The sequence below is a fragment of the Homo sapiens genome, chromosome 6 (genome assembly GCF_000001405.40).
Source record: "Homo sapiens chromosome 6, GRCh38.p14 Primary Assembly".
Taxonomy (NCBI): domain Eukaryota; kingdom Metazoa; phylum Chordata; class Mammalia; order Primates; family Hominidae; genus Homo; species Homo sapiens.
The window spans coordinates 33828667-33855603 of NC_000006.12; the positions used below are offsets into that span (position 1 = coordinate 33828667).

General features: G+C 53.7%; 1 long non-coding RNA gene across 1 annotated transcript, besides 7 other annotated features; it reads left to right on the top strand.

Annotated features, from left to right (window-relative positions):
• Window positions 366–660: a silencer, noted in NCBI's record as "tiled region #9014; K562 Repressive non-DNase unmatched - State 20:ReprD". NCBI's record gives its function as "represses a minimal TATA promoter and a strong SV40 promoter by Sharpr-MPRA in K562 cells {active_cell/tissue: K562}" and the evidence as "EXISTENCE:reporter gene assay evidence [ECO:0000049][PMID:27701403]".
• Window positions 10350–11284: an enhancer, noted in NCBI's record as "H3K27ac-H3K4me1 hESC enhancer chr6:33806793-33807727 (GRCh37/hg19 assembly coordinates)". NCBI's record gives its function as "activates a minimal SCP1, AML or CMV promoter by ChIP-STARR-seq in naive H9 embryonic stem cells {active_cell/tissue: H9 hESC(naive)}" and the evidence as "EXISTENCE:reporter gene assay evidence [ECO:0000049][PMID:30033119]".
• Window positions 10350–12180: a biological region, named in NCBI's record as "P300/CBP strongly-dependent group 1 enhancer GRCh37_chr6:33807424-33808623".
• Window positions 10981–12180: an enhancer, noted in NCBI's record as "P300/CBP strongly-dependent group 1 enhancer chr6:33807424-33808623 (GRCh37/hg19 assembly coordinates)". NCBI's record gives its function as "activates an origin of replication core promoter dependent on BRD2, BRD4, P300/CBP, MED14 and CDK7 cofactors, with strong dependence on P300/CBP, by STARR-seq in HCT116 cells {active_cell/tissue: HCT116}" and the evidence as "EXISTENCE:reporter gene assay evidence [ECO:0000049][PMID:35650434]".
• Window positions 12220–13154: an enhancer, noted in NCBI's record as "H3K27ac-H3K4me1 hESC enhancer chr6:33808663-33809597 (GRCh37/hg19 assembly coordinates)". NCBI's record gives its function as "activates a minimal SCP1, AML or CMV promoter by ChIP-STARR-seq in naive H9 embryonic stem cells {active_cell/tissue: H9 hESC(naive)}" and the evidence as "EXISTENCE:reporter gene assay evidence [ECO:0000049][PMID:30033119]".
• Window positions 15338–18166, top strand: LOC124901306 (uncharacterized). Its single transcript, XR_007059551.1, has 2 exons — window positions 15338–15419; window positions 16943–18166. It is a non-coding gene; the product is annotated as an uncharacterized LOC124901306 (long non-coding RNA).
• Window positions 21379–21909: an enhancer, noted in NCBI's record as "H3K4me1 hESC enhancer chr6:33817822-33818352 (GRCh37/hg19 assembly coordinates)". NCBI's record gives its function as "activates a minimal SCP1, AML or CMV promoter by ChIP-STARR-seq in primed H9 embryonic stem cells {active_cell/tissue: H9 hESC(primed)}" and the evidence as "EXISTENCE:reporter gene assay evidence [ECO:0000049][PMID:30033119]".
• Window positions 24324–25106: an enhancer, noted in NCBI's record as "H3K4me1 hESC enhancer chr6:33820767-33821549 (GRCh37/hg19 assembly coordinates)". NCBI's record gives its function as "activates a minimal SCP1, AML or CMV promoter by ChIP-STARR-seq in primed H9 embryonic stem cells {active_cell/tissue: H9 hESC(primed)}" and the evidence as "EXISTENCE:reporter gene assay evidence [ECO:0000049][PMID:30033119]".

The window sequence follows — 26937 nt, forward strand, 5'->3', positions numbered from 1 at the left end:
TCAGGTCGGAGGGGGTGAGGAGGGAGCATAGTGTCTCACACAGTGGGGCTCTCAGCCTACATTGCCAGGCAGGTCCTTCAGCCTCCTCTCTGCCTGGGGTCTCCCTCTGGAGATGCTGGCTCACAACTGCTCCCGCCCCTGCCCCTGTGGCCAAAGTAGCTTTCTCCTGTCTCTGCTGCTTGTTGAAAGAGGCATGGATCTCAGTATCATCCTCCTGCCACCTGCCCCACAGGAGTCTGCTGAGATGGCCATCTGGGAGCTCACCAAGCCTCTAGGGGAGCGGTGAGAACCAGCATCTGAGTGCAGTGTCAGGGGTTCCCTGCTGCTTGTGCCAGACGAGGTCCAGAACGTGCTTCTCCACTCAGCTCAGCATCCGGAGCTCTCCCATTTTGCCTCTCCTCCAGGGCAGCATTTTCTTTCTAAATTCCCAGGCTTTTTACATTTGGCTGCCCCATGGGGCTAATTCTCTCACTTCGAGATGGTGCCCATTAACACTTCAACAGGCCTCGCCTGGAGCTGCAGCCCCAAGCCCTCTTCCCTGGAACATCCGCGCCCACGTTCACTTCGCTGTCATCGCCCCAGCTGCGGAGGCTGGACTAGCTTCAGCTACTTTTATTTAGGCTTCAAAAGGAGGACCTTGGCCGCCAGCAGCTGAGGTCTGCAGGGCACCAGAGGTAAACTTCTGCCCTGAGTCTCCAAAAATAATTTTCTGTTTGGCTCCAAAACATGGTTCTGCTCTTCATCTGCCTGCAGGAGGCCTTGGGAGGGCCCATATCCCGAAGCTGCCCAGTGAAAGCCTGATGCAGGGAATGCTGAAAGCAGCCCAGCCTCTTGTCCCCTCCCCTCCCCTCCTTCACCTCCCTGGGTGCTGAAAACAGCCCAGCCTCTTGTCCCCTCCTCTCCCCTCCCTCATCTCCCTGGGTGCTGAAAGCAGCCCAGCCTCTAGTCCCTCCCTCCCCTCCCTCACCTCCCTGGGTGCTGAAAGCAGCCCAGCCTCTTGTCCCCTCCCCTTCCCTCCCTCACCTCCCTGGGTGCTGAAAGCAGCCCAGTCTCTTGTCCCCTCCCCTCCCTCACCTCCCTGGGTGCTGAAAGCAGCCCAGCCTCTAGTTCCTTCCCTCCTCTTCCTCACCTCCCTGGGTGCTGAAAGCAGCCCAGCCTCTAGTTCCTTCCCTCCTCTTCCTCACCTCCCTGGGTGCTGAAAGCAGCCCAGCCTCTAGTTCCTTCCCTCCTCTTCCTCACCTCCCTGGGTGCTGAAAGCAGCCCAGCCTCTAGTTCCTTCCCTCCTCTTCCTCACATCCCTGGGTGCTGAAAGCAGCCCAGCCTCTAGTTCCTTCCCTCCTCTTCCTCACCTCCCTGGGTGCTGAAAGCAGCCCAGTCCCTTGTCTCCTCCCCTCCCTCACTGCCCTGGGTGCTGAAAGCAGCCCAGCCTCCGGTCACCTTCCCTCGCCTCCCTCATGTCCCTGGGTGGAGAGGTCGGCATTGCCTCCCAGGTGGATGCAAAGTACCAGTCTCATCAAATCTAAGATACCAGTGATTTTTAAAGGAACCATTATTTTACCATGAAGGGGGAAAATGCTGCTGATTAAACTAGGATATGCCACCAATTGTTAGACAGATTTCAATTTCAGGGATATTAAAGTGTGAAACAAATGTGTTCCTTAGGACAGATGAAATATAGTCTAGGTGGAACAGCCCCTTCGTCTCAAAGCCAGCACTCTCTAGCTCACACTTTCCCTGGAGAAGAAATTAAAAGTGTGCTTCGAATCCAAAGGCTTTCAGCTCCTACTCCTGCCAGCACCGTGTGTGTGAGAGTAAATGGGTGGTGGGGACATCAACAGAGGACTGAGGTAAGAGGGGATCCTGTCATTCTGCCACCCACAGAGCCTGCTGAATGATAGTCACAAGCCCGCACCGCTGTCTTGTCAGCCCAGAGCAAATCAGACTCAGCCCCTATCCCGCTGCTCTGATTCACGAAGGACTTCAGTCAGAGGGGGTGTCCTCACCGCTTCGCCCATGACTTAGCACCCCTGTGTTCAGAGGTGACTTAGGGCATCAGGAGAGGCGAGAGAGAGGGTGCTGGCGGGAGCCTCACCCTCTGGCTTCCTGCGAGGGAATCTGAAGCCTGCAATGTGGAGCCGTCCACACCAGCATAAGGCGATGGGATGGAGTGGGACGGACAGACGGGGAGCAGGGTGCAGAAAGACTCAAGAGAGGAGACTTCAACTGCAGCAGGAGGGACGTGAGTGAGGCCTACAGCAGGAGGGGGTCGGGCGCCTCATCCTTTGGAGACTATAGTGGCCACCTAGGTGCTGCCCACGTACCTCCCTTCAGGACCCCAGTGCCCACTCTCCAGCCACGGGGGGACGTGAATGGCTGACTGCGCCAAGCTGAGCTCCTCTTCCTCGTGGTTATCCTTGGTCTCTTCCTTTGAGGTTGCAGCATTTTCGGGGGACAGCCAGCATCCAGCGGCTGGTAAATGCACCAGTGTGAAGGCAGATCCCCTTGCCCCATGTGGGACAGGCTGCAGGGCCTCCTCCCCTCCTCTGTCCTCCCCGGGGTGGCTGAGGCCTTTGCTGTGACCACAGGGCAGCCCAGCCCCTCTGTCTGTCCAGTCCTGCCTGCGTCACTCTCCACAGGTGTTCTTCTCAGCAAACTTCCTGCACATAATCTTCCTCTGAATTGTCTTCGAAAGAACCTGACCGGTCAGAGACCTTGAGGGGAAAGGAGGGAGGCAGCAAGTGGCTGCCAAGGGAAGGAGCGTCCTGCTCCAAGGCTGGGCAGTGGCCCAGACAAGCCCTGGAGACCTCTCCCTAGCCTGTGGGTAGCTCTAGGAAGCTCCCCCAGGAGTGTCCTCCTGGCCAGGCCCAGCTCCCTGCCCACCCATAGAGCTGGGGAGAAGGCAGCAGGTACACCAGGGGGCAGGACCATGGCAGGGGCAGGGATGCCGATAGAGCCCAGGCAGGTGGGCTCAGGAACTTTTAACAGGCAATACAGCTGCTGGGGGCCCCAAGCATGGCGGGGGGCAGTGCAGGCCCCCATACCTATGTGCAGAGCAGAGCAGAGCAGACAGAGCATATTTGAACTTCATACAAAGCCTGGGCCTGGCCAGCGTGTAGGTCTGTCTATGACTGCATGTATAGGTGTATGTGCATAAATGCATGTGTGTGTGTGCATGTGTGTGCATGCATGATGGTAAGAGAAGGCCCATGTGTCCTTATGCCTCGTATGTCAGCTTGTGTTTTTGAGTGCACGGTGTTTTTTTTTTGTTTTTTTTTTTTTAAATTTTTTTTTTTTATTGATCATTCTTGGGTGTTTCTCGCAGAGGGGGTTTGGCAGGGTCATAGGACAATAGTGGAGGGAAGGTCAGCAGATAAACAAGTGAACAAAGGTCTCTGGTTTTCCTAGGCAGAGGACCCTGTGGCCTTCCGCAGTGTTTGTGTCCCTGGGTCCTTGAGATTAGGGAGTGGTGATGACTCTTAACGAGCATGCTGCCTTCAAGCATCTGTTTAACAAAGCACATCTTGCACCGCCCTTAATCCATTTAACCCTGAGTGGACACAGCACATGTTTCAGAGAGCACAGGGTTGGGGGTAAGGTCCCAGATCAACAGGATCCCAAGGCAGAAGAATTTTTCCTAGTACAGAACAAAATGAAGAGTCTCCCAGGTCTACCTCTTTCTACACAGACACGGCAACCATCCGATTTCTCAATCTTTTCCCCACCTTTCCCCCCTTTCTATTCCACAAAACCGCCATTGTCATCATGGTCCGTTCTCAATGAGCTGTTGGGCACACCTCCCAGACGGGGTGGTGGCCGGGCAGAGGGGCTCCTCACTTCCCAGTTGGGGCGGCCGAGCAGAGGCGCCCCTCACCTCCCGGACGGGGCGGCTGGCCGGGTCGGGGCTGACCCCCCCACCTCCCTTCCGGACAGGGCAGCTGGCCGGGCAGAGGGGCTCCTCACTTCCCAGTAGGGACGGCCGGGCAGAGGCGCCCCTCACCTCCTGGACGGGGCGGCTGGCCGGGCGGGGGGCTGACCCCCACCTCCCTCCCGGACGGGGTGGCTGCCGGGCGGAGACGCTCCTCACTTCCCAGACGGGGTGGCTGCCGGGCGGAGGGGCTCCTCACTTCTCAGATGGGGCGGTTGCCAGGCAGAGGGTCTCCTCACTTCTCAGACGGAGCGGCCGGGTAGAGACGCTCCTCACCTCCCAGACGGGGTCGCGGCCGGGCAGAGGCGCTCCTCACATCCCAGACGGGGCGGCGGGGCAGAGGCGCTCCCCACATCTCAGACGATGGGCGGCCGGGCTCCTCACTTCCTAGATGTGATGGCGGCCGGGAAGAGGCGCTCCTCACTTCCTAGATGGGATGGCGGCTGGGCAGAGACGCTCCTCACTTTCCAGACTGGGCAGCCAGGCAGAGGGGCTCCTCACATCCCAGATGGGCGGCCGGGCAGAGACGCTCCTCACTTCCCAGACGGGGTGGCGGCCGGGCAGAGGCTGCAATCTCGGCACTTTGGGAGGCCAAGGCAGGCGGCTGGGAGGTGGAGGTTGCAGCGAGCCGAGATCACGCCACTGCACTCCAGCCTGGGCACCATTGAGCACTGAGTGAACGAGACTCCGTCTGCAATCCCAGCACCTCGGGAGGCCGAGGCTGGCGGATTACTCGCGGTCAGGAGCTGGAGACCAGCCCGGCCAACACAGCGAAACCCCGTCTCCATCAAAAAAAATACGAAAACCAGTCAGGCGTGGCGGTGCGTGCCCGCAATCGCAGGCACTCTGCAGGCCGAGGCAGGAGAATCAGGCAGGGAGGTTGTAGTGAGCCGAGATGGCAGCAGTACAGTCCAGCTTCGGCTCGGCATCAGAGGGAGACCGTGGAAAGAGAGGGAGAGGGAGACAGTGGGGAGAGGGAGACGAGAGGGAGAGGGAGAGGGAGAGGGAGAGCGAGTGCATGGTTTTGTATGTACACATAGGCATAAGTGTGTGCACACAGGCCAGTATGTTTGTGTGTGCCTGCGTGTGGGTACAGGCAACTTACAGAGGGAATGCACCCTGTGTCTCTTCTCCCTCACCCACTGCATCTTCTCTCTCTTGCCACAAATCCTCGGCCTAAGCTGTCTTGAGATTGCCTCTTTCTCCACCTCCTCCAGGAAGCCTTCCTTGGTGAAGCCAACATACATTCCAAGCCACCCTTTCTTGTTGTCACCAAAACAATTTCCTTGGCCATCTGTATTTGCCCGTGTCTCCATCTCACTGGGAGTTTCCTGAGGGCAGGGTTGTGTCTCCATCATCACACTGGGAAGTCCCCGAGCATGGGAACGGCCTCTCCCATCAGGCCAGGATCTCCTGGGGACTGGGACTCTGATTCTGTCTTCCAGACTGAGCCCCACTACTAATGCCCTGAGAGGCGGTGGAGAACTGAGGACCTCACTCCCAGCCCTGCACTCAGCCCTTTTCCTGGACGCTGAGCTGTGGGCTGGCTGTCAGGGGGCCTGGGTTCCAATCCTGGCTCTGAATGTGACTTGGGAAAGCTTTTGCTTTCTGGGCTCCAGGTGACTCATCTGTAATGGAGGGGACTAAGCAGACGGCCTCGGGGCACCTCACTGCCCTGTGTTTGCCTACAGAGCTCTAGCGAAGTTCAGTCTCCAGGGTCCTCTGTGGCCCCTTGCCGTTCCCCATGACTGTTGCCCACCTGCCCATCCCCATTTTAAGCTTGTGGGTGGACCTGGCTGCCAGCGGTACCCTCCCCCTTAGCCATGTGGGGGGAATGAGGAGGTCAGTGGGCCACATGTCCTGGGTTATTACATTAAATAAGCTGACAAAAGCCATCAGAAGATATATCGTTTAATAGGAGATTAAAAACCAACAAGAGCGGCTGGGGTTCTGACCTGAAGTCTCTGTGTTTTTAATTTAATTTCATTTGCTGCTCCAATCACAACATTCTAAAATGATAAAAGTAGCTGTGTTTGCTCAAGGGTTTTATCATTAATTGATTTGGCTGAAGTTTTCCCATAAGCCACATCTTTTGGAACACGCTTCTTATTTTAGGCCTCTGACTCAGTGGGAAGGCGCCGTTCGAGGCCCGCGGGGGTAGGAGCGAGCGGCGAGGGATGCCCTTGGCCAGCGCCTCCCCACAGGTGAGCAGGCCCAGGCGCTGTGCGGAAGCCCTGCTGGGAATTGGTCAGTGTTGCTGCTTCAGCATCAGGAACAGCCTTCTCTGCAGCCCTGGATTTAAAGGGTCAGAGCCAGGGTCTTCCCCAACCCTGGGCACATCAGAGCCTGGCGGGCGCCCTGCAGAAGGCTGGCAACCCTTGATGGTAGGGGCAGGTCTCTGGCCAGGCCTCAGCCCCCGAGTCTGTGCAAGTCAGTGGAGCTCAGAGCCGCGGCGTGTCTGGACACGTGTGGTAGGTCTGGTTGCCTACAGGCCCTCTCCATTTTCACTCCCTTCCTCTCTTGCTTGGTATTTGTTTCTTGGTCGCAGGCTGTTTGTCTCTATGAAGCAGGAATACTGGCCTCATGTCCTCATATTTTCATGATCAACCAGGAAAGAATTGCTCTCCTCCAGCTCCAGTTAAAAAGCCCAGAGAGGGGCTCTGATTGGTCTGACTGGGTCACATGCCTAACCCTGGACCAATCCCTGTGGCCTGTGGGGCAGGATCAGGTGAGAGTTGGGCTCCAATTTGGACCACATGGCCAGAGCAGGTGGGAAGCTGAGGGGGTGTTTTCCAGACAGGGGACGCTGACAGGGCCACCGCAAACGAAGTGTCCTATTACTATAAAAAAGAAATAAAAAGTGTTAAGACACTGTTGACATTTGAGTGTAATTCATGTGAATATGTTTTCCATTCAAAAGACAAATACCTCAGTAGAGTGGTCAAAAGCATTGAACAGAAGAGGAAACTGAGAGGGATATGAATGTATGGAAAGCGTATAGAGAGCCCTGTAAAAAGGGAAATGTACATCAAACCACATGGCGAGATACAATTTCCTACCCGTTGGATTGTCAAAAATAAAAACGTCTCCCCACTGAGGATATGGAAAATGGAAACTACTCACTCTTTTTTTTTTGCGGGGGGGGGGGCGGGGGGGGCGGGGGGGATGGAGTCTCACTCTGTCGCCCAGGCTGGAGTGCAGTGGTGCGATCTCAGGTTAGTAGCCTCCACCTCCCAGGTTCAAGCAATTCTCCTGCCTCAGCCTCCCGAGTAGCTAGGACTACAGGCACGCGCCACCATGCCCGGCTAATTTTTGTAATTTTTGTATTTTTAGTAGAGACGGGTTTCACCACGTTAGCCAGGATGGTCTTGATCTCCTGACCTTGTGATCTGCCCTCCTCGGCCTCCCAAAGTGCTGGGATTACAGGCGTGAGCCACTGTGCCCTGCCAACTATTCACTCTTAATACCACTCCTTAGGAGGACAATTCAGCTGCACATTGTAGGGAAGAAGACACACACACCCTGCGCCCGCTACTGCGCTTGGGGTGTAAACCCCTGGGGACAATCTCATGTGTGTACACAAGGAACCATAAGAGCTGCAGCATTTTAGAGTAAGAAGTATTGCCAATGAGCTCAGCGTTTATTAACCAGAGAAGGGGTAACTAAAGTGTGGGACACTCAGAAAAGGAATTCTTGACAGCAGCTAAAACTAACGAACATGTTATCAAGATGGACTGAAAGCAAAATGTATGGTTGGTGGAGAAAAGATAAGTTGCAGAAAGCCTCATCCTACAGATTAAAGTGTAGAGATGTGTAAATATAATGCATTACTTATGGATACATACATAAGCAGTATTTAAAATCATACATGGGGATGATACCAACTTAGATAAGGTAGCTACCTTTGGAGAGGGAAGGAGGCTATGTAAGAAATTGAGGGATGGTACACAAAGGATTTCAACTGTATGTGTAATGCTTTGTTGCCTTAAAAATTATCTCAAGCAATCACGCCACTGCACTCCAGCCTGGGCGACAGAGCAAGACTCTGTCTCAAAAAAAAAAATTATCTCAAGCAAAATTTTTTAAAATGGAGATTATTCTTTTTATATATAAATATACAAATGTATGTTTATGTGTGTGCATGTATTTTTTATTGCTGTCCTGCCTTTCACTTATTACTTTATAATAAGCATGAAAATGTAGTTTTAATAGTTATATAATATCCCCCCATAATTTATGAATGCATGTCCTGTGGTTGCATATATAGGTTGTTTCTATTTTTTCACACTGCTGTGACTGTCCTTATAAAGATTATTTTCTTAGGGCAGAAAGCTGGGATCACTGGGTCAAAGATTTGAGCTATTTTTAAGGCTCATAATAATTACTGGGTGAGAGTGTTAGTCAGAACACTTTGGGCTGCAAGTGACAGAAAACCAGTTCAAACTGGCTTAAGTAAAACGGGAAACATGTTGGCTTGTGTTGCTGAAAAGGCTAGGGAGGGAAGGCTGCCTGCAGGGTGACCCAATGTCCTCAGGGCTCTACCCAGACCCCTGTGCCCCTCTCTATCCCTCAGCTCTGCTTTCTTCTGGATCTGCTTCAGGCTTCCCACATCCTCTCCACATGGCACAAAATGGCTCCAGCAGCTCCAGCACTCACCATCTGTATCCATTTCTGGGGATGCTATAACAAATTACAAGAAACTTGGTGGCTTCAAACAATAGAAATTTATTCTCTCACAGTTTTGGAGGCCACAGGTCTGAAATCAAGTTGTCTGCAGGGCCACGTGCCTTCTGGGGACTCTAGGGAAGAGGCCGTGCCTTGCCTCTGTCAGCATCTGGTGCTGTCAGCATGTCCTGGCTTGTGGCCACATCTCTGTCTGCTCAGTTTTCACATTGCCTTCTCCTTTGTGTCTAACTTCTCTGTGTGTGTGTAAAGGATACTTGTGATGGCATTCGAGACCTACCCAAATTATCCAGAATAAGCTTCTCCTTCCAAGATTCTTAACTTAATTATATCTTTTGCCATATAAGGCAACATTTGCTTTTTTGGCATGTAAGGTAATATTTGCAGGTTCCAAGTATTAGGAAGTGCATATATCATTGGGAGAGAGGCATTTTCTTCAGTCTACCACACCGTCCTTTACAGCTCAAATCCCAGAGGACCAGTTCAGGCAAAAGTCTCAGGAGAGGGCTCTAATTAGCCAGCTTCCATCATGTGCCCACTATTCGAGAATTGATGCATAATATAGTTTGGCAAGAATGTGGGTGTGTGTGGGAGATAGCCTGGAACGGTTTGCCAGGGGTGAGCCTCAGAAAGCCTCCGAGACAAGGCTGAGGCACTGGGGCTCCATTTAGCAGGTCACGGGGGAATGGGAGGTGTCCAGGGGTGTTCAGCAGGGGAACCCTCCAGGGACAGGAGAGAGGGGAGCTGCAGGGAGGCCTGGGGGAGGTGGCTGGTGTGGTGATGAAGGTAGAGGAGTGGGTTGAAAGGTAGGAATGACAAGCAAGGGCCACATCTGAGAGGAGTCTCAGGGGATGGAGCAGCAGATCTCATAGACTGGGGAGGGGGCTGTGACACAGACAGGGAAGGCGGCAGGAGGCAGTAGTTTGCGGGCAGAGGGAGGAGGGGTCATTCCCTTGGAGACATCCTGAGTTGAGGCGATGGAGATGAGTCCTTCATTAGCTTTTGAGGCTCTGTGAGGCTCTGTGAGGCTCTGGCCAAGTCGACCCTGAAGTCAGACTGGGCTAAGATCTTCTCCAAGGCAGAGGAGCAGAGAGAGCCTGTCTTGTCTTCCTGACACATTGTGGAATGCAGCCTCCCTTTCCCGGGTCTCCCTGCGGATTGCATGCCAGGGCAGGCGGGTGTTTGGCCTGGAGTGTGTGCTCCCTCCCACCTCCCCGCCTCCCCACGCCTGCCGGAGTGGTAGTTCCTTCATCTTCCAGGAGCGGGGAGTAGCAGCAGATGAACTCTTTAACAAGCAAAAGGGAGAGAGCAGTTCCACAGGCAAGGGTTTCTGCTGAGGGAGCTGCAGCCACAAGGCCGAGCAGCTCCTGGGGTTGGCATCTCTCAACCCCTCAGTCCTGCCCTGGGCTAGCAGCCTGCAGGCAGGGCCCCCTGTCAGGGGGAACTGAGCCTCAGTGCACCTCACCCCAGCGAAAGTTCCCCCAGGGAACCTGCAGCCACAGTGTTTGTGTCACAACTGTATTTTGAAGAGAGGGACATTCTAGGTACTCCGGTTTTATTAATACAAGATGCTGGGATCCCCAGAAATTAGCTCAAGGAGAGACAAAGACTTCAGCCTCCCCTGAGAGCTGATCAGAGATGGCTGTGCTGACCCAGGGTAGGTAGAGACTGGGAGTGGGTGAGGTCCACCCCACCACTGACTTCCCCACTGGATGGAAGCCTCCGTGGCTGCTGGCTGCTCCTGTTATAAGAGGCCCTGTGAGAATGTAGGGAGAGCTGGGCTTCATCTCACAGCCCCTAAGATCCACCCCCACTCCTCTTCCCCAGACAGGCACATGCACGTGCATACGTGCGCACACACGCAGAGTCATGCACCTCGCTCTTCAGTCCTCGCTCCCCTTCCACTGCCCCTCCTGTGTTTACACAGCTTCCCCCCAGGCGAGGCCTTAACTGAGAGCAGTCAGCCCACACTGGCTGCAAAAGATGGGCCACGTCGGCCTGTGGGGTCTCTTGGGAATCTGGAATTGGGCTCTGAGATATGTGCTTGGACTCAGCATCCATTCCTTGCCTTCTGCTGCTGCAGAGGCTACAAAGCTAACAACAGTGTGGCTCCCGTGCACCTAGGGTTTTTGTTAATGAGCTAGGTTCTGCTGAATGCAGACACCCACATGAGGCCTGCAGGGCAGAAGTGAGGCAGAGCCAGCTTCCTCATCCGTTAGCTATTCGCCGGTGGCAGGTAGGCTCATGGACACACGAATTTTCCTTCATGGCATTCCAATGTCCAGGCACCAGCTTTATGGGGCCCAGACGTCATATGGTGGTGACAGCAGCTTCAGACGATGGATGGCAGCTAGAGTGGTGTGTTCGGTGGTGGCTCTGATTCCTCCCCTTCCTGATGGGGCCAGTTCAGCTGTTCCATACTCATTCCTGGGTGCAAGCCTAATGCCAACTGCTACAGCACCTCCAATGACTTTTTAAGCACCTAATTCCCCATGTTAATTGCCTCTCTGCTTCAAATCCCCACATGCCTTCTGTTTCCTGCACTTAAACCCTGATTGAAACAGATACAAACGCACTTTGTACAAACAGTCGGACTTTTAGCACTAATCTAACAGGTCATGAGAGGCCCAGGCCAGGGCAACCAGGAAGGGCTCCACAAAAATGAAATCGGGAGCACAGAGGTCTGCAGAGAGGGCCCCCCTACACACACACACCCCTCCCATGCAGAGGGGAGCTTTCTCCCTTCCTGATGCTTCCGCATTTGGGGTCCTGGGCCACAGGTAACCTTGTGTGACATGATAACATATAGGAATGTTAATTCATATTCCACGGCTCCTCTCCATCCCCAACCTTGGCCGCTTCCGTTCAGTAGTCAGCAGGACAGCTCAGCTGTAGTCTCAAGGAAGAGATGACTCAGCATAAAGAGAGAGACAGCAGTCTGTGCTTGGGTTCTGAGTTTCCAAACCCAGGCCTCAAGGGGAAACGGAAATGACTCATGTGGATAAACAGTTTGGTAGCTTGGGGGCATGTGGGATGACAGAGAGCAAGTGTGGCATCTTCCTCCCCTCTTCCACGCACACACAGAGGTTTCTGGATCCAGAGTTAAGGGAGAGGCAGGGGAAAGTAAGCAGGGTCTGGATAGTTTGGCCTCTCAGAAAGATGAGTCCTGAGGTTACCTGGGACCTTTCAGCTTGGCTCACTCTGCTACCTCATTGGGTTGCTCAAGGTCCCAATTCCAAATTCCTTGCATCTAATTGGCATAGCTCATCTTTTTCAGGCAGGTCCCAAGTCAGAGGTCAGGGCCAGGCTATGAGGAGATAGTCTGGCTCACGTGACCGCCTCTGGCCTAATCAGCTGTGGCCAGGAGCTGCGTCACATGGACTGAGGAATGGGGTGTCTGAGGCTGGGCAGGGCAAAGGCAGGGAGAGGGTTCTCCTAGAACGGGAACAGCTCCTGGCACGGAGAGACAGTACCTCAAGGCAGGGCCTGCAGGTTATAGGTGTTTTGGTGACTCCTTCACCTCATCAGTCTGTAATGGAGCCACTAAGGTGTCAGCTCCAGGAACTAGGAGTTGCGCCAGATGGAATATTTATTTGCTTTTGAATTCTTCCGTGTTGCAAGAAACTACTGCTTTGTTAAGAATTCCAGGTATTCCAGCTGTAAATTTCATGCTCCAGTCTCTGTTAATGCAGTGCAAGTTTGGGCCTGTCACCTGATTGTACTGTGCCTCAGTTTCCCAACTTATAAATAATACACCTCTTGGGAGGCTTCTGTGAAATTCATCAGCATAAAAATGCTATGGAAAAGCCTAAAGGAGACCCTACAAATGCAAGGAATGGTCAGTCCTCCTCCTCCCTGTCTCTCTTCCAGTTAGGTCCCCAGTCCCAGGCCCCCACTCCCATGCTACCCATGGCCCCCTCAGACCCTAGGTGGAGAGAGGAGGAGACCCCTTCACCCCTGGGGCAGGCACAGTGAGGGGCCCAGGCTGGGCAGGGCAGTGAGGTTCTGATGAGCCTTTCCTGTGATGGATGGCCCGCCAGCTGGAGCTGCAGTTCCAATTTGCTCCACATTTGGACAGCGCTTTACCCACAATTCAGCTTCTCAGGCCCACAAATCACTCTGCACAATCAGACCAAGGAGGCAGTGGGGAAGACAGGAGAAAGAGGTCCAGCAGCTCCTGGAGGACCCCGGGCTGGGGAGAGGGGCTGTGGGGTTGGAGTGCACACTATGTGAGGTCTGGATCCATCCTGGGCCCCCTTTCCTTCCAAGCCCATCTCCTGCAAGCTCTAGCCACCCCACGGTTCCAGATGGCATGCTTCATTGGGTCCTAGCCTTGTGCCCTCTTCCCAGCCCCCACTTCCCCCTGGAAACAAGAACAAGGATCCCTGCACTTATTGTCCCACTGCCCCAGACCATCTTCTGTCCAGCCCAGTGCAGCTCCAGCTATGTTGCAGAATCTCCAGGGCCTCCCACTGCCTCCCACCCCTCCATGGGACAGACCCACGCCACTTCCAGACCATAGAAGTTAGGACTAGTCAAACAGTCATTCACTCATCCTTTCACTTATTCCTTCCAAAAACATTGATTGAACATTCACTATGTCACAATGGTGAGCAAAACCTTGGAGCCCGTAGTCCAGTGACATTAACGAAACAATTAGAGAATTGTACAACTTCAAACCAAGACAGTGGCTGAGGAGAAAAAGATCCTGGGAGCAATGAGGGCATGGAAGTGAGGGGTCTACCAGGGTCTATGGTCTCTCTTAACTCCCTTCCTTTCAAGCTTTGTTTAGGCTCACCTCCTCCAGGAAGCCTTCCCTGATTGCTGCATCCATCTATTATTAATGGGTACTTCATGGTGGGTCTCTGGATTCAAGACCCTTCCGGTGTCTTGCCTTTCTGTTAAGTCCCCCATAGGTGAAGACACTCTGAATACACAGGGTCGGCCTACCCAAGTGTGGCCTAGGTACCACCAGTGCCTCCTCAGGACTCAGCTCAGAGGCTTTCTCCACCAGGAAGCCTTCCCTGGCATGTGACCTGGTCCTGGAGACCCTCTTCTGGCCTCCACAAGTCCCTGGACCCAGAGGGCATTGGCACTGCCCCCCTCACCTCCACCAAATGCCTCAGGGGCACCAGCTTTACTCTAGGGGATGCAAAGAGCTCTCCTGCAGTCCTGTGCCTGCCCCCTTCTTCCCCCATCTCTGCCCTCTGCTAATGATGATGTAGAGGCACAGAAAACAGGCTTTGATCTACAGTAGCTGCCTCCCTTCATGAAGGATTTCCCTGCCTCAGACATCCCTTTCCCTGGGTTGGTCTTGGTGTTCCGGGGTTCATCTCACCAAAGGCCCAGTGCTGCTGTTGCTGCGAGTGAACTGGGGAGGTGGCTCTCCCATCATCTCCACCCAGCCAGGCCCTCAGAGGTCATGCCAGTGAGGGAGTCAGGCCCCCTCAAACACAGGGGCTGGGCCCAGAGCTCATAAGGCTGGGGGAGCTGGGGGTGGAGAGAGGCGGGCTCAGTGGTGGCAGGGGCAGGCCTGAGGTGGCTCTGAGTGCCTGCCCATCAGCACACCTCTCTGCAGAATGGGTGGAGAGAGGCACCTGCACTTTCCCCCCTTGGAGTTACCAGAAGGTGGAGGAGAGAAGCAGAGAGGGAAGTGTGAGTGCTAGCAAGTTTCCCTGAACCTGGGGGGCTGGGAGGCAGATGCAGCCCATCACCCACCCTGGCGTGGCCAGAACATCCTCCTGATGAAGCTTCATAGTCAGAGTGAGCCCACTTTCAACTGCTCCAATGTGTTCGTAGACAAGAGCCACGTTGGGGACAACTGTTGTCTGTGGAGAGGAACTCACTCTAGGATCCTCAGCGATGCATTTTTTCCTGGTGAATTTCAACGAGGACTCCTTTGCCTGGCATTGATTTATGCTCCCAACCTTTCAGGCACTCATGGCTTGCATAAAGGGAGGGCTGCACACAGCAGAGGTGGGCCTGTTTAGCTGATCTCAGCAGAGCTCCGTCCGCCCACCCGATTGTGGGAGCTGGCAGGAGTGGGGAGGAGGCCGGCTCTCTGTCTGTCCTGGGGCCATGCTCACATGTCTGCTGCCCAGTGTGGGCCGTTCTGATACTCAGAGATCTGGGGGTTTGGGGAGAGGCAACAAGCCCGTGCATCTAGGAGGGCGCAGAGAAAAGCTGCCTCCAGCCCGGAGGCTCCTCTCTGCTCTTGCCTCTTTCAAGGCCCTCCCTTTTGATGACCTGTATTTTCATCTCTCCTCCCTCCCCTTCTGCTTCCCCCAGCCTCCTCCCAAGCCTCCCACGCCGGGCAGTCTCCATTCCCCTCGGCTGTTCCTGCCCATCTCTACCCTGCAAGTGTGAGTGTGCGGCTGCACTAGCTGCTCCCTGACCGGGGGCCTCTGATGGGGTTTGGCCAGTGGGAGGCACCAGCAGGAGATCAGAGGGTAGGGGGACAACGGATGGGGTGGATCCGGGCCTGCTAACACCAAAGGCCCTGGCAGCAACTGCTCAGCTGGCTCCTCCACACCCACTGATACGGTTTGGCTGTGTCCCCACCCAAATCTCATCTTGAATTATAGCTCCCATATCTCCCACATGTTGTGGGAGGGACCTAGTGGGACATAATTGAATCATGGGGCGGTTTCCCCCATACTGTTCTCGTGGTAGGGAATAGGTCTCATGAGAGCTGATGATTTGATAAGGGGAAACCTCTTGTGCTTGGCTGTCATTCTCTCGACTGCTGCTGTGTGAGACGTGCCTTTCACCTCCTGCCATGATTCTAAGGACTCCCCGGCCACGTGGAACTGTGAGTCTATTAAACCTCTTTTTCTTTATAAATTACCCAGTCTCGAGTAAGTCTTTATCAGCAGCGTGAAAACAGACTAATACACCCACCCTCTCCGGGTCCACTCCATCCCTGGCCCTTCAGGCCTAGGGGTGGTCATGACTCTCCATGCTGCTGGCTCCTAGGCACGCTCCATCTTTTTTTTTTTTTCTTTTGAAACAGAGTTTTGCTCTTGTCACCCAGGCTGGTGTGCAGTGGCACAGTCTCGGCTCATTGTAACCTCCGCCTCCCAGGTTCAAGGGATTCTCCTGCCTCAGCCTCCCAATTATCTGGGACTGCAGGTGTGCACCACTACGTCCAGCTAATTTTGTATTTTTAGTAGAGATGGGGTTTTGTCATGTTGGCCAGGCTGGTCTTGAACTCCTGACCTCAGGTGATCTGCCCGCTTTGGCCTCCCAAAGTGCTGGGATTACAGGTGTGAGCCACCACACCCAGCCTGCTCCATCTTTATTGGTTTTCCAAAATCCTGTGCACACCTTTGGCAAATAGTCCCTTCATGAAACCCTCCCGGCACCCCTGTTGAGGGTCTGTCTGTTCCTCACTGTTTCCTTCCTCTCCGGTCCTTTCCTCTTCCTTCAGTTTTCTCTTTTCTACCTTGTCTTTTCTTCCCAGATTCCCTCCTCTTTTTTTGCCCCTTCCTGGCCTCATTCCTACTGGGAAGGGGCAGGCTGGTTAAGGACCAGGCTCCAGGGATGACAGTGGCTTGGTGGAGCCTGGAGTCCCAGGCATGATGAGGCCTGCCGACCACTTGGAAAGTTCTGAAATTCAGTTATAGTTGACTAATCTAGCGGGGCCCAGGCCCAGGGCAGTTGCTTCAGGTTAGAAAAACCCTCAGGAAAGAGATTTAGAAAACAGATCCCTTCCCTCATCATATCTACTGAGGGGTCATGTACCTGGGGGGATGAATATTTCCAGGTATTTGCCCAGGACACCTCCTTCCAGAGAGAACACCTTGGGGCAGGGAGGAGAAATTTGGCTCCTCACAGCATTTTCCATAAAACATTAGTCTCACACAATGCCTCTTACAAAAGGAGGTTCCATAGTCAGATAAGTTAGAGAGACTCTGCATTTGGCAGATCCCCATGTGCCATTCTATCAAAGGCTCTGAAAAGGTCTGCAGTAAACAGTGTCCTGTTTCATATGTGTTTTGCTCAGTGCATCCAAAGCTAGACGATGGAATCAAATTCGTTTTTTAAAATGCAATCATTCCCTGAGCCCAAATCAGCTTCTTTATCTCTAAAAAGGGAATAATTCATTGTTCTGAAGATTCAAGATGCTAACCATATCTTAGATAAGACTTTCTTGGTTGCAAGGACAGGATTCATATTAAACATAAAGGGGAATTTATTGAAAAGCTGTTGGGCATCTTTGGGGGCCCCCAGGGCGTGAGTGCATCGTGAGAGCCAAGAACCAGAAGGTGCAGCATATCTTAGTGTCCACACTCCACCCCTTCTCACATCTGCTTCCTCTGTCTTCCTCTGCAGGCTTCCAGGGCTGTGGGGCCAAATGTGCCCTCTCCTGCCCTCATGGCAGCCTCAGTTCCTGAGTTCTCATCATTTCTTCCTTGCTACAATCAGAACTGAGTCTAGCACCCTTCAGGACAAATCCAGATCCCCAGGAGAGACAGCCTGATGAGTTCAGCTTGGAAAGGGTCTGTTCCTGTCCTATCAGCTGTGGCCAGCGTGCCAGGGTCACGTACCAGTGCGACTGCCACAGCACGGCCCATCTGTCCAGGAGTAGTTCTCAGTCAACGGGCTCCAGCTGGGACTCAGGCTGAATAGATGCCCACAAGGATGTCTGCTACCACATGTAAAGTGCCCCAAAGCAGGACAAGTGCTCAGCAAGTGTGGCCCGTATGATTAAGGGAATTCTGTGTCTGTCTGAGAAGAAAGTGGCGATGAGCAATAACAAGGCCTGTCGTCCATCTGGAAGAACTCCAGCCACCCCCCAAACTTTCAGGTGCATAGAACCACCTGGACATAAGACACAAACATTGTTACCCCAAAAAGGAAAAAAATTATTTGGACTATATTAAAATAAAATATTTGTTTATCAAAATACATCATTAAGAGTAAAAAGGCAAGACAGCAAGTTGAAGAAGATATTTGCAATACACATAGCCAGGAAAGGACAAGAACCCAGAATATATAAAGAACTCCTATAAATCAGTAAGAAAAAGACAATCTGATTAAAACATTGGCAAAAGATCTGAAGAGGCACTTCACAAAAGAGGATGCCCAAATGGCCAATAAACATAAGAAAATGTGCTCAACATCATTAGTCATCAGGGAAATGCAAGTTGAAGCATAAAATGGTATCACTCCACACCCACAAGCATGGCTGGGATGAAAAGAGAGATGCGCCCAGTGCTGACGAGGATGTGCATCAACTGGAACTCTCAGACACTGCAGGTGGGTGTCTAAATTGGTACAGCCACTTTGGAAAATTGTTCAGCTGTATTTGTTAAACCTGAACACAAGCAAATCCTATCTGTGATGCCACAATTCTGCTGATCGACATATCTCCATCAGAAATGTATACAAATGTCCACAGAGATACATGTCATCGAATTTTCATGGCAGCCCTCTTTTGATATCCCAAAGCTGGAAACAACCCAATGCCCATCAACAGCAGAATGCATACAAATTGTGGTACAATCATAGGCTGGAATGCTACTCAGCATTGAGAATAAACAAACCACAACTGCATATAATGGTATGAATGAGTCTCACAAATAATGTCAAGTAAAAAAGAGCCAGACACAGGTGTCTGTATAATTCTATACACGTGAAATTCAAATGCAGGCAAAACAGAACTGAGCTGTCAGGAGTCAGGATACTGGCCTTGTTTGGACAGCTTAGTAACCGGAAGGGACATGAGGGGTTTGTGAGGGCCTGTAAATATTCTATTTCTCTACCTGGGTAGACATTAAGCAGATGTGGAGTTTGTGAAAACGCATGGAGCAATTCACCTATTACTTCTACACTTTTCTACATTTATGTACCCACTAATATCATTTTTTGGGGAAAAAAAAAACCCAGGGAGTTTATTCTAAAATGCAGATTCCTATGATCCACTCCCAGAGACTCTGAATCACCAGGTCCTGGGCAGTACCTAGGAATCTGCATTTTAATAAGTTCCCTGGGTGATTCTGGTGCAGGCTGAGTCACAATCATGCTTTAAAAGCCTGGCCCTGGGCCGGGCGCGGTGGCTCATGCCTGTAATCCCAGCACTTTAGGAGGCTGAGGTGGGTGGATCACCTGAGGTCAGGAGTTTGAGACCAGCCCGGCCAACGTGGCAAAACTTCATCTCTACTAAAAATACAAAAAATTAGCTCAGCTACTTGAGAGGCTGAGGTAGAAGAATCATTTGAACCCGGGAGGCGGGGGTTGCAGTGAGCCAAGATTGTGCCACTGCACTCCAGCCTGGGCGACAGAGCGAGACTCCCTTTCAAAAAAAAAAAAAAAAAAAAAAGTCCTAGCCCTGGCCGGTTCTGGGAAGGTTGGAGCTTGACCATTCTTGGCAGCCCACCCAGTTGGCCTTGGCCTGAGGTGCTGGGGGAATGGTTGAGGGTCCTGAGTAGGAGACGGGGAGGCTGAAGGGGCAGGCTGAAAGGGACAGGAGGAGCCAGGCACCCAGGGGAGGCTGGGGGAGCCACTGCTCTCCAGAGTGCTCTCAGTAGAACAGACCGCATGTGTACCCTCAGGCAATGCTTGTCATGTGAAATGACCCTTGGAGGGCCAATCTTTCTCAGGACAGGGTGGGTGACAGAGGGTTCCATTCAATGTCCTAATTAAGTGACTTTCCAGGCCTCAGTTTGCCTGCTTTAGCATGGAGAGGCCCACTCTTGACAGGGTTCTAATTCTGGCTCTGACCCTGAATAGCTGTGTGGCCTTGTGCCAGTCACCTGCCCTCTCTGGGCCTCAGGTTGTCCACTTGTAAAACAAGGAGTGGGACTATATGACCCTGACCTCTCAGTTTACTGGCCACCTCTGCATGGCTCTCCCTTAACCCCGAGCTGAGACTCTCCTCTCATACCTCTTGGAAGGTGCTGCTATTCTTGACAGTACTGGCCATAGAAGCCTATGGTTATGGTCAGATTCATGTCTATTTTCTCCCTCCTACTTCCTGCCCTGGCCAGCCCTGCCTAAGCTGAATGTGGACTCCTGGAGGGCAGAGCTGGGGTCTTACCCATCTCTGTCCCCAGCACCATACACAGTAAATCATCCAGGACAGTAAATAAAGCTTCCTGGAGCCTCCCTGCCCTGAGATGCAGAGATTCTGCTTCCTTCTTTTCTGGGAATAGTACGTGAACACTCCAGTCCCGAGGGACAAGAGGGACTGCTGTGCTTTCCCATCTCCAGCTGGCCTGTGATGTGGCTTCTGGGGGATAAAGGGATCCAAAGAGGTGTCCCCAGCTCTCCCTCCTGTCCAGAGCCCTGGTAGGCAGGCAGATGGATGAGTGGGTGCTCCTGGCTGTTTCTCTGTTGAGTCCATTACAGGGTGAGTTATTAACTCCTGGTTTGGGCAGGGCAACTGGAGCCCTGGGCACCCTTTGGAGCTGACAGGGGCAGGCCTGCTCTAATTGAAGGCTTAATGAATGTTCCCAGTGGAGGCCGCAGCCGGTGCCTTCCCTCTGCCATCTGGCCATTTGTCTTTCCCTGGTGGGATCCCCTCTGCCTACCCAGGGAACCTCGACTGCTACTGCTCCTCCTTCTGGGGCCTGAGCACTGTCTCCATCACCCCAGGGGCCCCTTCTTTGGCCCCGCTGCCGGGTCCTGTGCCCCGGGGTCACTCTTCATTCTTCAGCCTTCAAGGCTACTCCAAGCTTTGGATGTTTCCACACAGGCCTCAGGGCCTTGCCAGATACACCTGCGTGGCCCACCAGAGTGTTCCAGAGGTGGGCAGGTAGACAGGGCTAATTACTCTCAGCTGGTCTTCCAGGTTGCTCCTAGGGACTCAGGGTGTCAATCTTCACACCCCACCACTATTTGCATGAACAAGGCACCTCCTCAGCCCAAGTTCCAGAACTGAGTAGATGGTACTGGGAGGTCAGCTGGCTCTAGAGGTGTTGCCCAAAGGTGACCCTTCCCAGACACGGAGTGGTGTAGATGGTGGAGGGAACTAAAGTCAGGGAGCTCCTACAACGAGCCAGGTGCCAAGCTGGGGCTGTGCATCCATCATCAGATCTCAACACTCAGCAACGTCTTGGGGAGCCACATGGTCCCATCTTATAGGCAGGGAAGCGGGAGTGCAGGGCGGTAACCCGTTTGATCAATACCCTACTGTTGGCAAGCAGGGACTCTGGATTGGCTGCTCTGGAGCCCAGGCAGCCTCCCGATTAAAGGCAGCTGAGCTGGCATTGCCATTCTGGGGCACTTCTCCAGGAATGAGGATTGGAAATGAGTCTGTGATCTTGCAGTTTCCTGCGTTATTTTTTCCTCCACACCTGACTTGCCTGCTCAGCCCCTACAGGGTGGGAAGGAGGCAGTGTGGTGCCATGGGAGAGCCTTGGGTGGACTGTCAGGGGACTTGGTCTCTTGCTCTGCTCTGCCACTGACCTTAGCCTTTCCCCTTGGGCCTCAGTCTTCTAATCTGCAAAATGGAGGTGAACGATCTCTGAGCTGCCCACCTCTCGAGACGCTGTGGGGCTCCTGTGAGGCCATGTGCTGTCAGAGGAGTGCCTGTGGAGGGGCCACCATCCCCCGGCACCTTCCAGGCCTCCTGCTGCCCACCGCCACCTGGAGACTCCAGAGCCACAGGGACCTGAGCTCCACAGCCAACTCTGCTACTTATTCCTGTGTGACCTTAGATATGTCACCTAATCCCTCAGACCCTGCCCTGGGGAGAGGGGGTGGTGGACCCAGACCTCATCCTAGGGAGGGCTTTGCTGATGGTTAGGTGCTGGACACTCCCGCGCCCAGGGCCAGAGCTGGGACGGGTGTGGGCTGGGGAGATTGGTGTCAGGGTTTGGTTTAGGGACTGAAATTCAACCGGAATTGGGGTAGAACCTCCTGGTCAAATTCCTGTCAAATTCAAGACCTGAAGGAAGCTTTCAGCCAGGGTTGGGATATATGTTCTGAGAGCTGCTTGGTTAAGAACTGGGGTCAGGGCCGGGTTGGGGGCTGCATGAGTGGGTGCTGTGTTGAAGGCCAGGACTTGAGCCGTGGCAGTGCAGAAAGGAGGGAAAATGAGAGTAGGGAGTGTGAGCTCCGGTCCCAGCTCTGCCCTGACCCACCCTGGGCCAGACATTTTGCGACTCTCAGCCTTAGCCTCAGACTCAGCCTTCTCATCTGTGAGGTCATCACTCTGCCCTGCAGCTCTCATAGAACCCTGGCTGCCATGCTATCCCGCAGTTCCTCATTAGGCTCACTGCTAATGCTCTCCAAGTTATGGTCTTTAATCATAACAAAGAGAGAATTGATGCCAAATTAGCATAAGCTACAAGCAGCTATTAGCTGGGAAATATGTAAATTCTATATTTGTGTCAGGCATTAGGTTTCTCCTGCTTTCCAGGTAAAATCAGCCCCTTCCAGTTGTGCCCTAGATTACATAGAAGTTTGTCCTCATGGGCGGGATTCTGGCTGCAGACACTTCCTTTACCCCACTCCTTCTGAGCCCTGGGGCTGGGAGAGGGAACCAGAGCTGCCTCCCAGTCTCCTGAGAGGCTGTGGGGAGGACCCCCCCGCCCCCGATCACTGCTACCACCTCTCTGCTCCACCAGCACCTCCCAGGACCTCTGGAGACCCTTCCTGCGGTAGTTTGAGCTATTAAATGGGACCATCGCAGCATCCAGACCCAGGGTGACCGGCACTATGCAGTAACTGTTCTAGCCACTCTATCCCCTCTGCTGGTGCAGCTTCTAGCCAGAGAACCCTGAGGTGAGGGAGGAGAGCTGGGCTGGGTGCCTGTTCCTCCCTTCCAGCACCTGGCATGCTAGTGACATGTGCACTTTGCTAAGAGACCTGCCAAGCTGTGTCACGCAGCCTGTCAGCCTCTCAAAGCCACTCTTGGGGTGTGGGGGGGGAGGTGACCCTGGGCTCCACTGACAGAAGCCATGAAAAAACAGACTTTCTTTCTGGTCCCGAGTCCAAGGTATGGGGCCTACCCCAACTTCTGCTCAGGGCTTTAGACCTGCCCCTTCTCCTGACAGAGACAGATGACAGGCGATGTGAGAATGATCTTCCTCTCTCTTGCCTGGAAGCCCCTGAATTGTTTGCTTCTCCATGGGGGTTCTGATATCATCACTCAGGGTGGCGGCTCTCAGAGCGCACTCCCAGGAGCCCAGCATAGTCACCTGGCTCCAGCTGAGAGGCCTCCCTGGGTCGCTCCGGCCACAAGGTCTTTGTCCTGGAGGCTTGCTCTGCCTGGAAGGCTATTGCCCCAAGTATCAATTCTTAGGTCCACTTTCAGGGGCTCTGGGGCAGAAATGAGCTACCCTAAATCCACAAAGATTCCTTCTGGCCAGTGGTGGTGGTGGCCCCGGGAGCCATGTGAGCCCAGCTGCAGCAATTGATTCAGGGGCATCATCACGTCTCTAAACCAGACGCCAACTGAGTGTCAGCCAACGGAGTGGGCTTCATATACCTGCACCAACCCCGGCATCACTGGCCCGGTCGCCTCAGCCTTCACATCTGTGATGGTGATGGGTCCCTGAGCTCCTTCGGGCCCTGACATTCCAAGTCAAGAGACCAGCTGGGATTAGACCAGCAAAACTTAGGCACAGAATGGGAAGGATCTGATGGGAGGGGTGAAGGGGGTGCTAGAGTGGGAGGTTTGGGGTTTGGGGGTGGTGGTAGGAGGGCAGCCCGAGGCCCATAGGTGGGGAGGTGAGGTCGAGGACACCCTCTGTCTTGCCTCACCATTGTGTTTGGGACTCATGGGACGTCTCTCACCTTTTTCCCAGCAGGCGAGTGGCTTCCAGCCTGAGGAACCTGGGCTGTGCCCTGAGCAGACACTAGGGGACACTGGGCTCCTTGCAAACTTGGCTGAATTTACATTCCAGGAAGGGCAGATGGGGAGGGGCAAGTTCAGGTCCTGCTTTCTGGGGTGGGTGGGCCTGGCTGGCCAGCGTCCTAGTGGGAGGCAAGCAGCCGGCTCCCTGCCCCAGGGCCTCTGCCTGCCGGACCCCTAACCACGCCCATGTGGGAGTGGACTCGGCTCATCCCAGCTGCCTGGAGGCACCAGCCTTGGGTCATCCCTGGTGGGGATGAAGCACCCTGAGGCTCAGGGGCTCAGATAGGGTGAGGGGAGATATGGGGGCAAGGCTGGGGTGAAAGCAGCCACCTCGCCCAGAGGGCGCCTTGCCCTACAGGTGCTGGAGCATTCGTGTTTAATGCCACTTTCCCGCGCTCCCTGTGCCATGCAGTGACAGGACAGGGGCCTCTGAGAGACCATACTGATTAGACATCCTCTCAAATTTGGGATTTTTTGGCCAGGCGTGGTGCCTCATGCCTATAATCCCAGCACTTTGGGAAGCCAAAGAGGGTGGATCACTTGAGGTCAGGAGTTCAAGACCAGTCTGGCCAACATGGTAAAACCCCGTCTCTACTAAAAACACAAAAATTAGCTGGGCGTGGTGGTGCATGCCTGTAGTCCCAGCTATGTGGGAGGCTGAGGCAGGAGAATTGCTTGAATCTGGGAGGCAGAGTGCAAGTTGCAGTGAGCCGAGATCATGCCACTGCACTCCAGTCTGAGCGAGAGAGCAGGATGTCTCAAACAAAAAAACAGAAAAAACAAAAAACAAACAAAAAAAACCCTGGGGATTTCTCAATTACAAACTGGGGCTCAATAACTGAAAAGGAATTTCTGTTCTGCTCTTGGGGTAAAGCCATGTGGGAGAAAGAATCTGGGTGCCCAGTGCTGGCTTTTCCAGGACATGTCAAGGGTAATGGGGGCAAGAGAAGGATATTGAGGGCCCTGACTCTTGTCCACTGGACCCTGCCTCCAGCCTCATGGGGAGGCCCTCACTGCTGGGGCTAGACCCTTTGCTCTCAAGGAATGGGAGAGAGGGTGGTTCAGGTTCAGGGTGACCCCTCACCCCTGCAGAGAGCCAACAGGTCATGCTGAGCTCCTGCTGGCCCTGACATTCTCCTCAGGGTGCTCCCGAATGGAGATGAGCCCAGGCCATGGCCCAGCCCCTCTGCTTTGGAGCCAGTCATGGCTGGGTACTTGGGGCCCACTACGTCTGCTGCCAACAGCCCTGGCCTGGGGGGCCCACGGAACTCCTAGGGACTCCTCAGGCACCTTGCTCTGCACTGTCTACTGGCCCTAGCCTGGTGTTTGAGCATCCGGTCTGAGCCCCTCTCTGTGTGGAATTATCTCCCTCTAAGATAGGGCCTGACGGTTCAACCGTCTCCCTCTTACCTGGAAAGCACAGCTGCCAAGCTTTTCACACGTAGCTGCTAGCTCAGGGCTCCAAGCACAGGGGACCTGAGTGAGTGGTGGGTGCAGGGAGGTTCTGCGGTCATCCTGCCTGGCTGTAAGCCCTAGCACTGCTCCTTAGAGCTGAGGGTTGGAGGCCTCAATTTCTTCATCTGTGAAATGGAAAGAGTAGGAGAGCCCACCTCCTGGGGTTATTGGACAGACTACAGGAGATAATGCAGGTAAGGCCCTTAGGGCACTGCTGGGTGCACTGCCAAGTGCCCAGTCAAATTTAGTTCTTATGTTTAGCAGATCTGATAGTGGAGAAGAACAGCACAGAATTTGAAGCCAGATGAATCTAGGTTCAATTCTTGGCTCTGACACTTGCTGGCTGTGTGACCTTGACCAGGTCAGTTAACCTCAGTTTGCTCATCTGTAAAATGGGGCTTAAAAAACTACTTACCTCTGGCTGGGCACGGTGGCTCATGCCTGTAATCCCAACAATTTGGGAGCCCGAGGCAGGAGGATCACCTGAGGTCAGGGGTTTGAGACCAGCCTGGCCAACTTGGTGAAACCTCGTCTCTACCAAAAATACAAAAATTAGCCAGGCATGGTGGTGGCACACCTGTAATCCCAGCTATTTGGGAGGATGAGGCAGGAGAATCGCTTGAATCCAGGAGGCGGAGGTTGCAGTGAGCCGATATCGCACCACGGCACTCCAGCCTGGGTGACAGAGCGAGACTCCATCTCCAAAAATAAAATAAAATAAAATAAACCCAAAACCCCCCAAAAAACAAACTACTTACCTCCTTAGGTTCTTGTGGGATTTGAGGGCTCACCTCTGCCACTTGGCTCTGGATTTAGCACATAACTGGTCTTCAACATCAGCTCCTCTTACCCTCCTTCCTTCCCCCGACCCAGAATCTTAACATAGCCTACCTGGTCCCCTCTTGCCACTGTGCCTCAGCTCATCTCACTGTCTGGTCCCTGAGTCCTGCCACACTCGTCCATTCTCGGGCTGCCACAAGTCATGACTGCCCCTGCCTCCTGCAGATGCCCGGAGCCTCACCATTGAGCTTCTTGTATTCATTCATAGCGCCTGCCTCCCTGCGCTGTTTTGAAATCAGATGAGACAACAGGTGGGAAAGCTCTTTGCCAACCGTGGAGGGCTCTCAGCACATGCCAGGAGTTAAGATGCTGCCTGTATTGGATGCACCAGGGGCGGAGAGGATATGCCTGCGGCTCCCTCGGCACAGAGCCCTCTGAAACAATGTCCTTGGCCCTCACCCCCGTCTGAGCTGGTCTGGAGGCTGCTCCCCGCCCGTGCTCTTGCCTCTCCATTCTAAATACCATTTCCCCCATCTAAATGCCATTTCCCCTGTCTGGGCTGGAGCCGCTGCCTGCTGTCTGAGGCGGCTGGAAATTTCTCAAATGTCGGTTTGATTTATGGCTCTAGTTAATTCTCGAGGAGGCCCGTGAGATGCCCTGAGCTCTGGAGCCTCAATGGGATAAATCATTTAACAGGTGGTTAAATATTCTTTAAGGTCTGGGGAGCACAGGCAGGGTTTAGATTTGGGGAGGGGACCAGGCCGGGGGAGAACTGGCACATTTCTAAATGGAAATAGGGAAAACATTGCGTCCACTTCAGGACCTGTGGAAGCAATTTGTCATAAGCCGTGGCTGGAGGCAGCACCTGTGGGCTCCTTCCTGCCCTCAGGCCCGGGAGGCTGGGGCTCCTGAATACTGGGGAGGGGCAGAGGCAGCTGGCTACAGGTGGGATGGGTTGGCCCCTGCCAGCTGTGCACTCCAGCTGTGAGGTCTCCCAGTTGGGAGGTGTCCACAGGACCCAGAAGCTTCCAGGTGGAAGTGAGGGTTCTGACACCACCAAACTCAGGGCCAGCCTCCAAGGTGGATGTCTGACACAGCCCACCAGTCTAGGAGGTAGGCAACGGGGAGGCCTGGAGCAAACGGATGCCACGTGTCCTGCCTGACGGCAGCAAATATGAAATCACACGGGGCAGCCAAATAGAGCAGAGCTGGGCTGTCACTTTGAGACCCCAGAATCATGTATACCTTCTACTGCACATCTGCAGGGAGCTTTATGACTTTAAGCCCC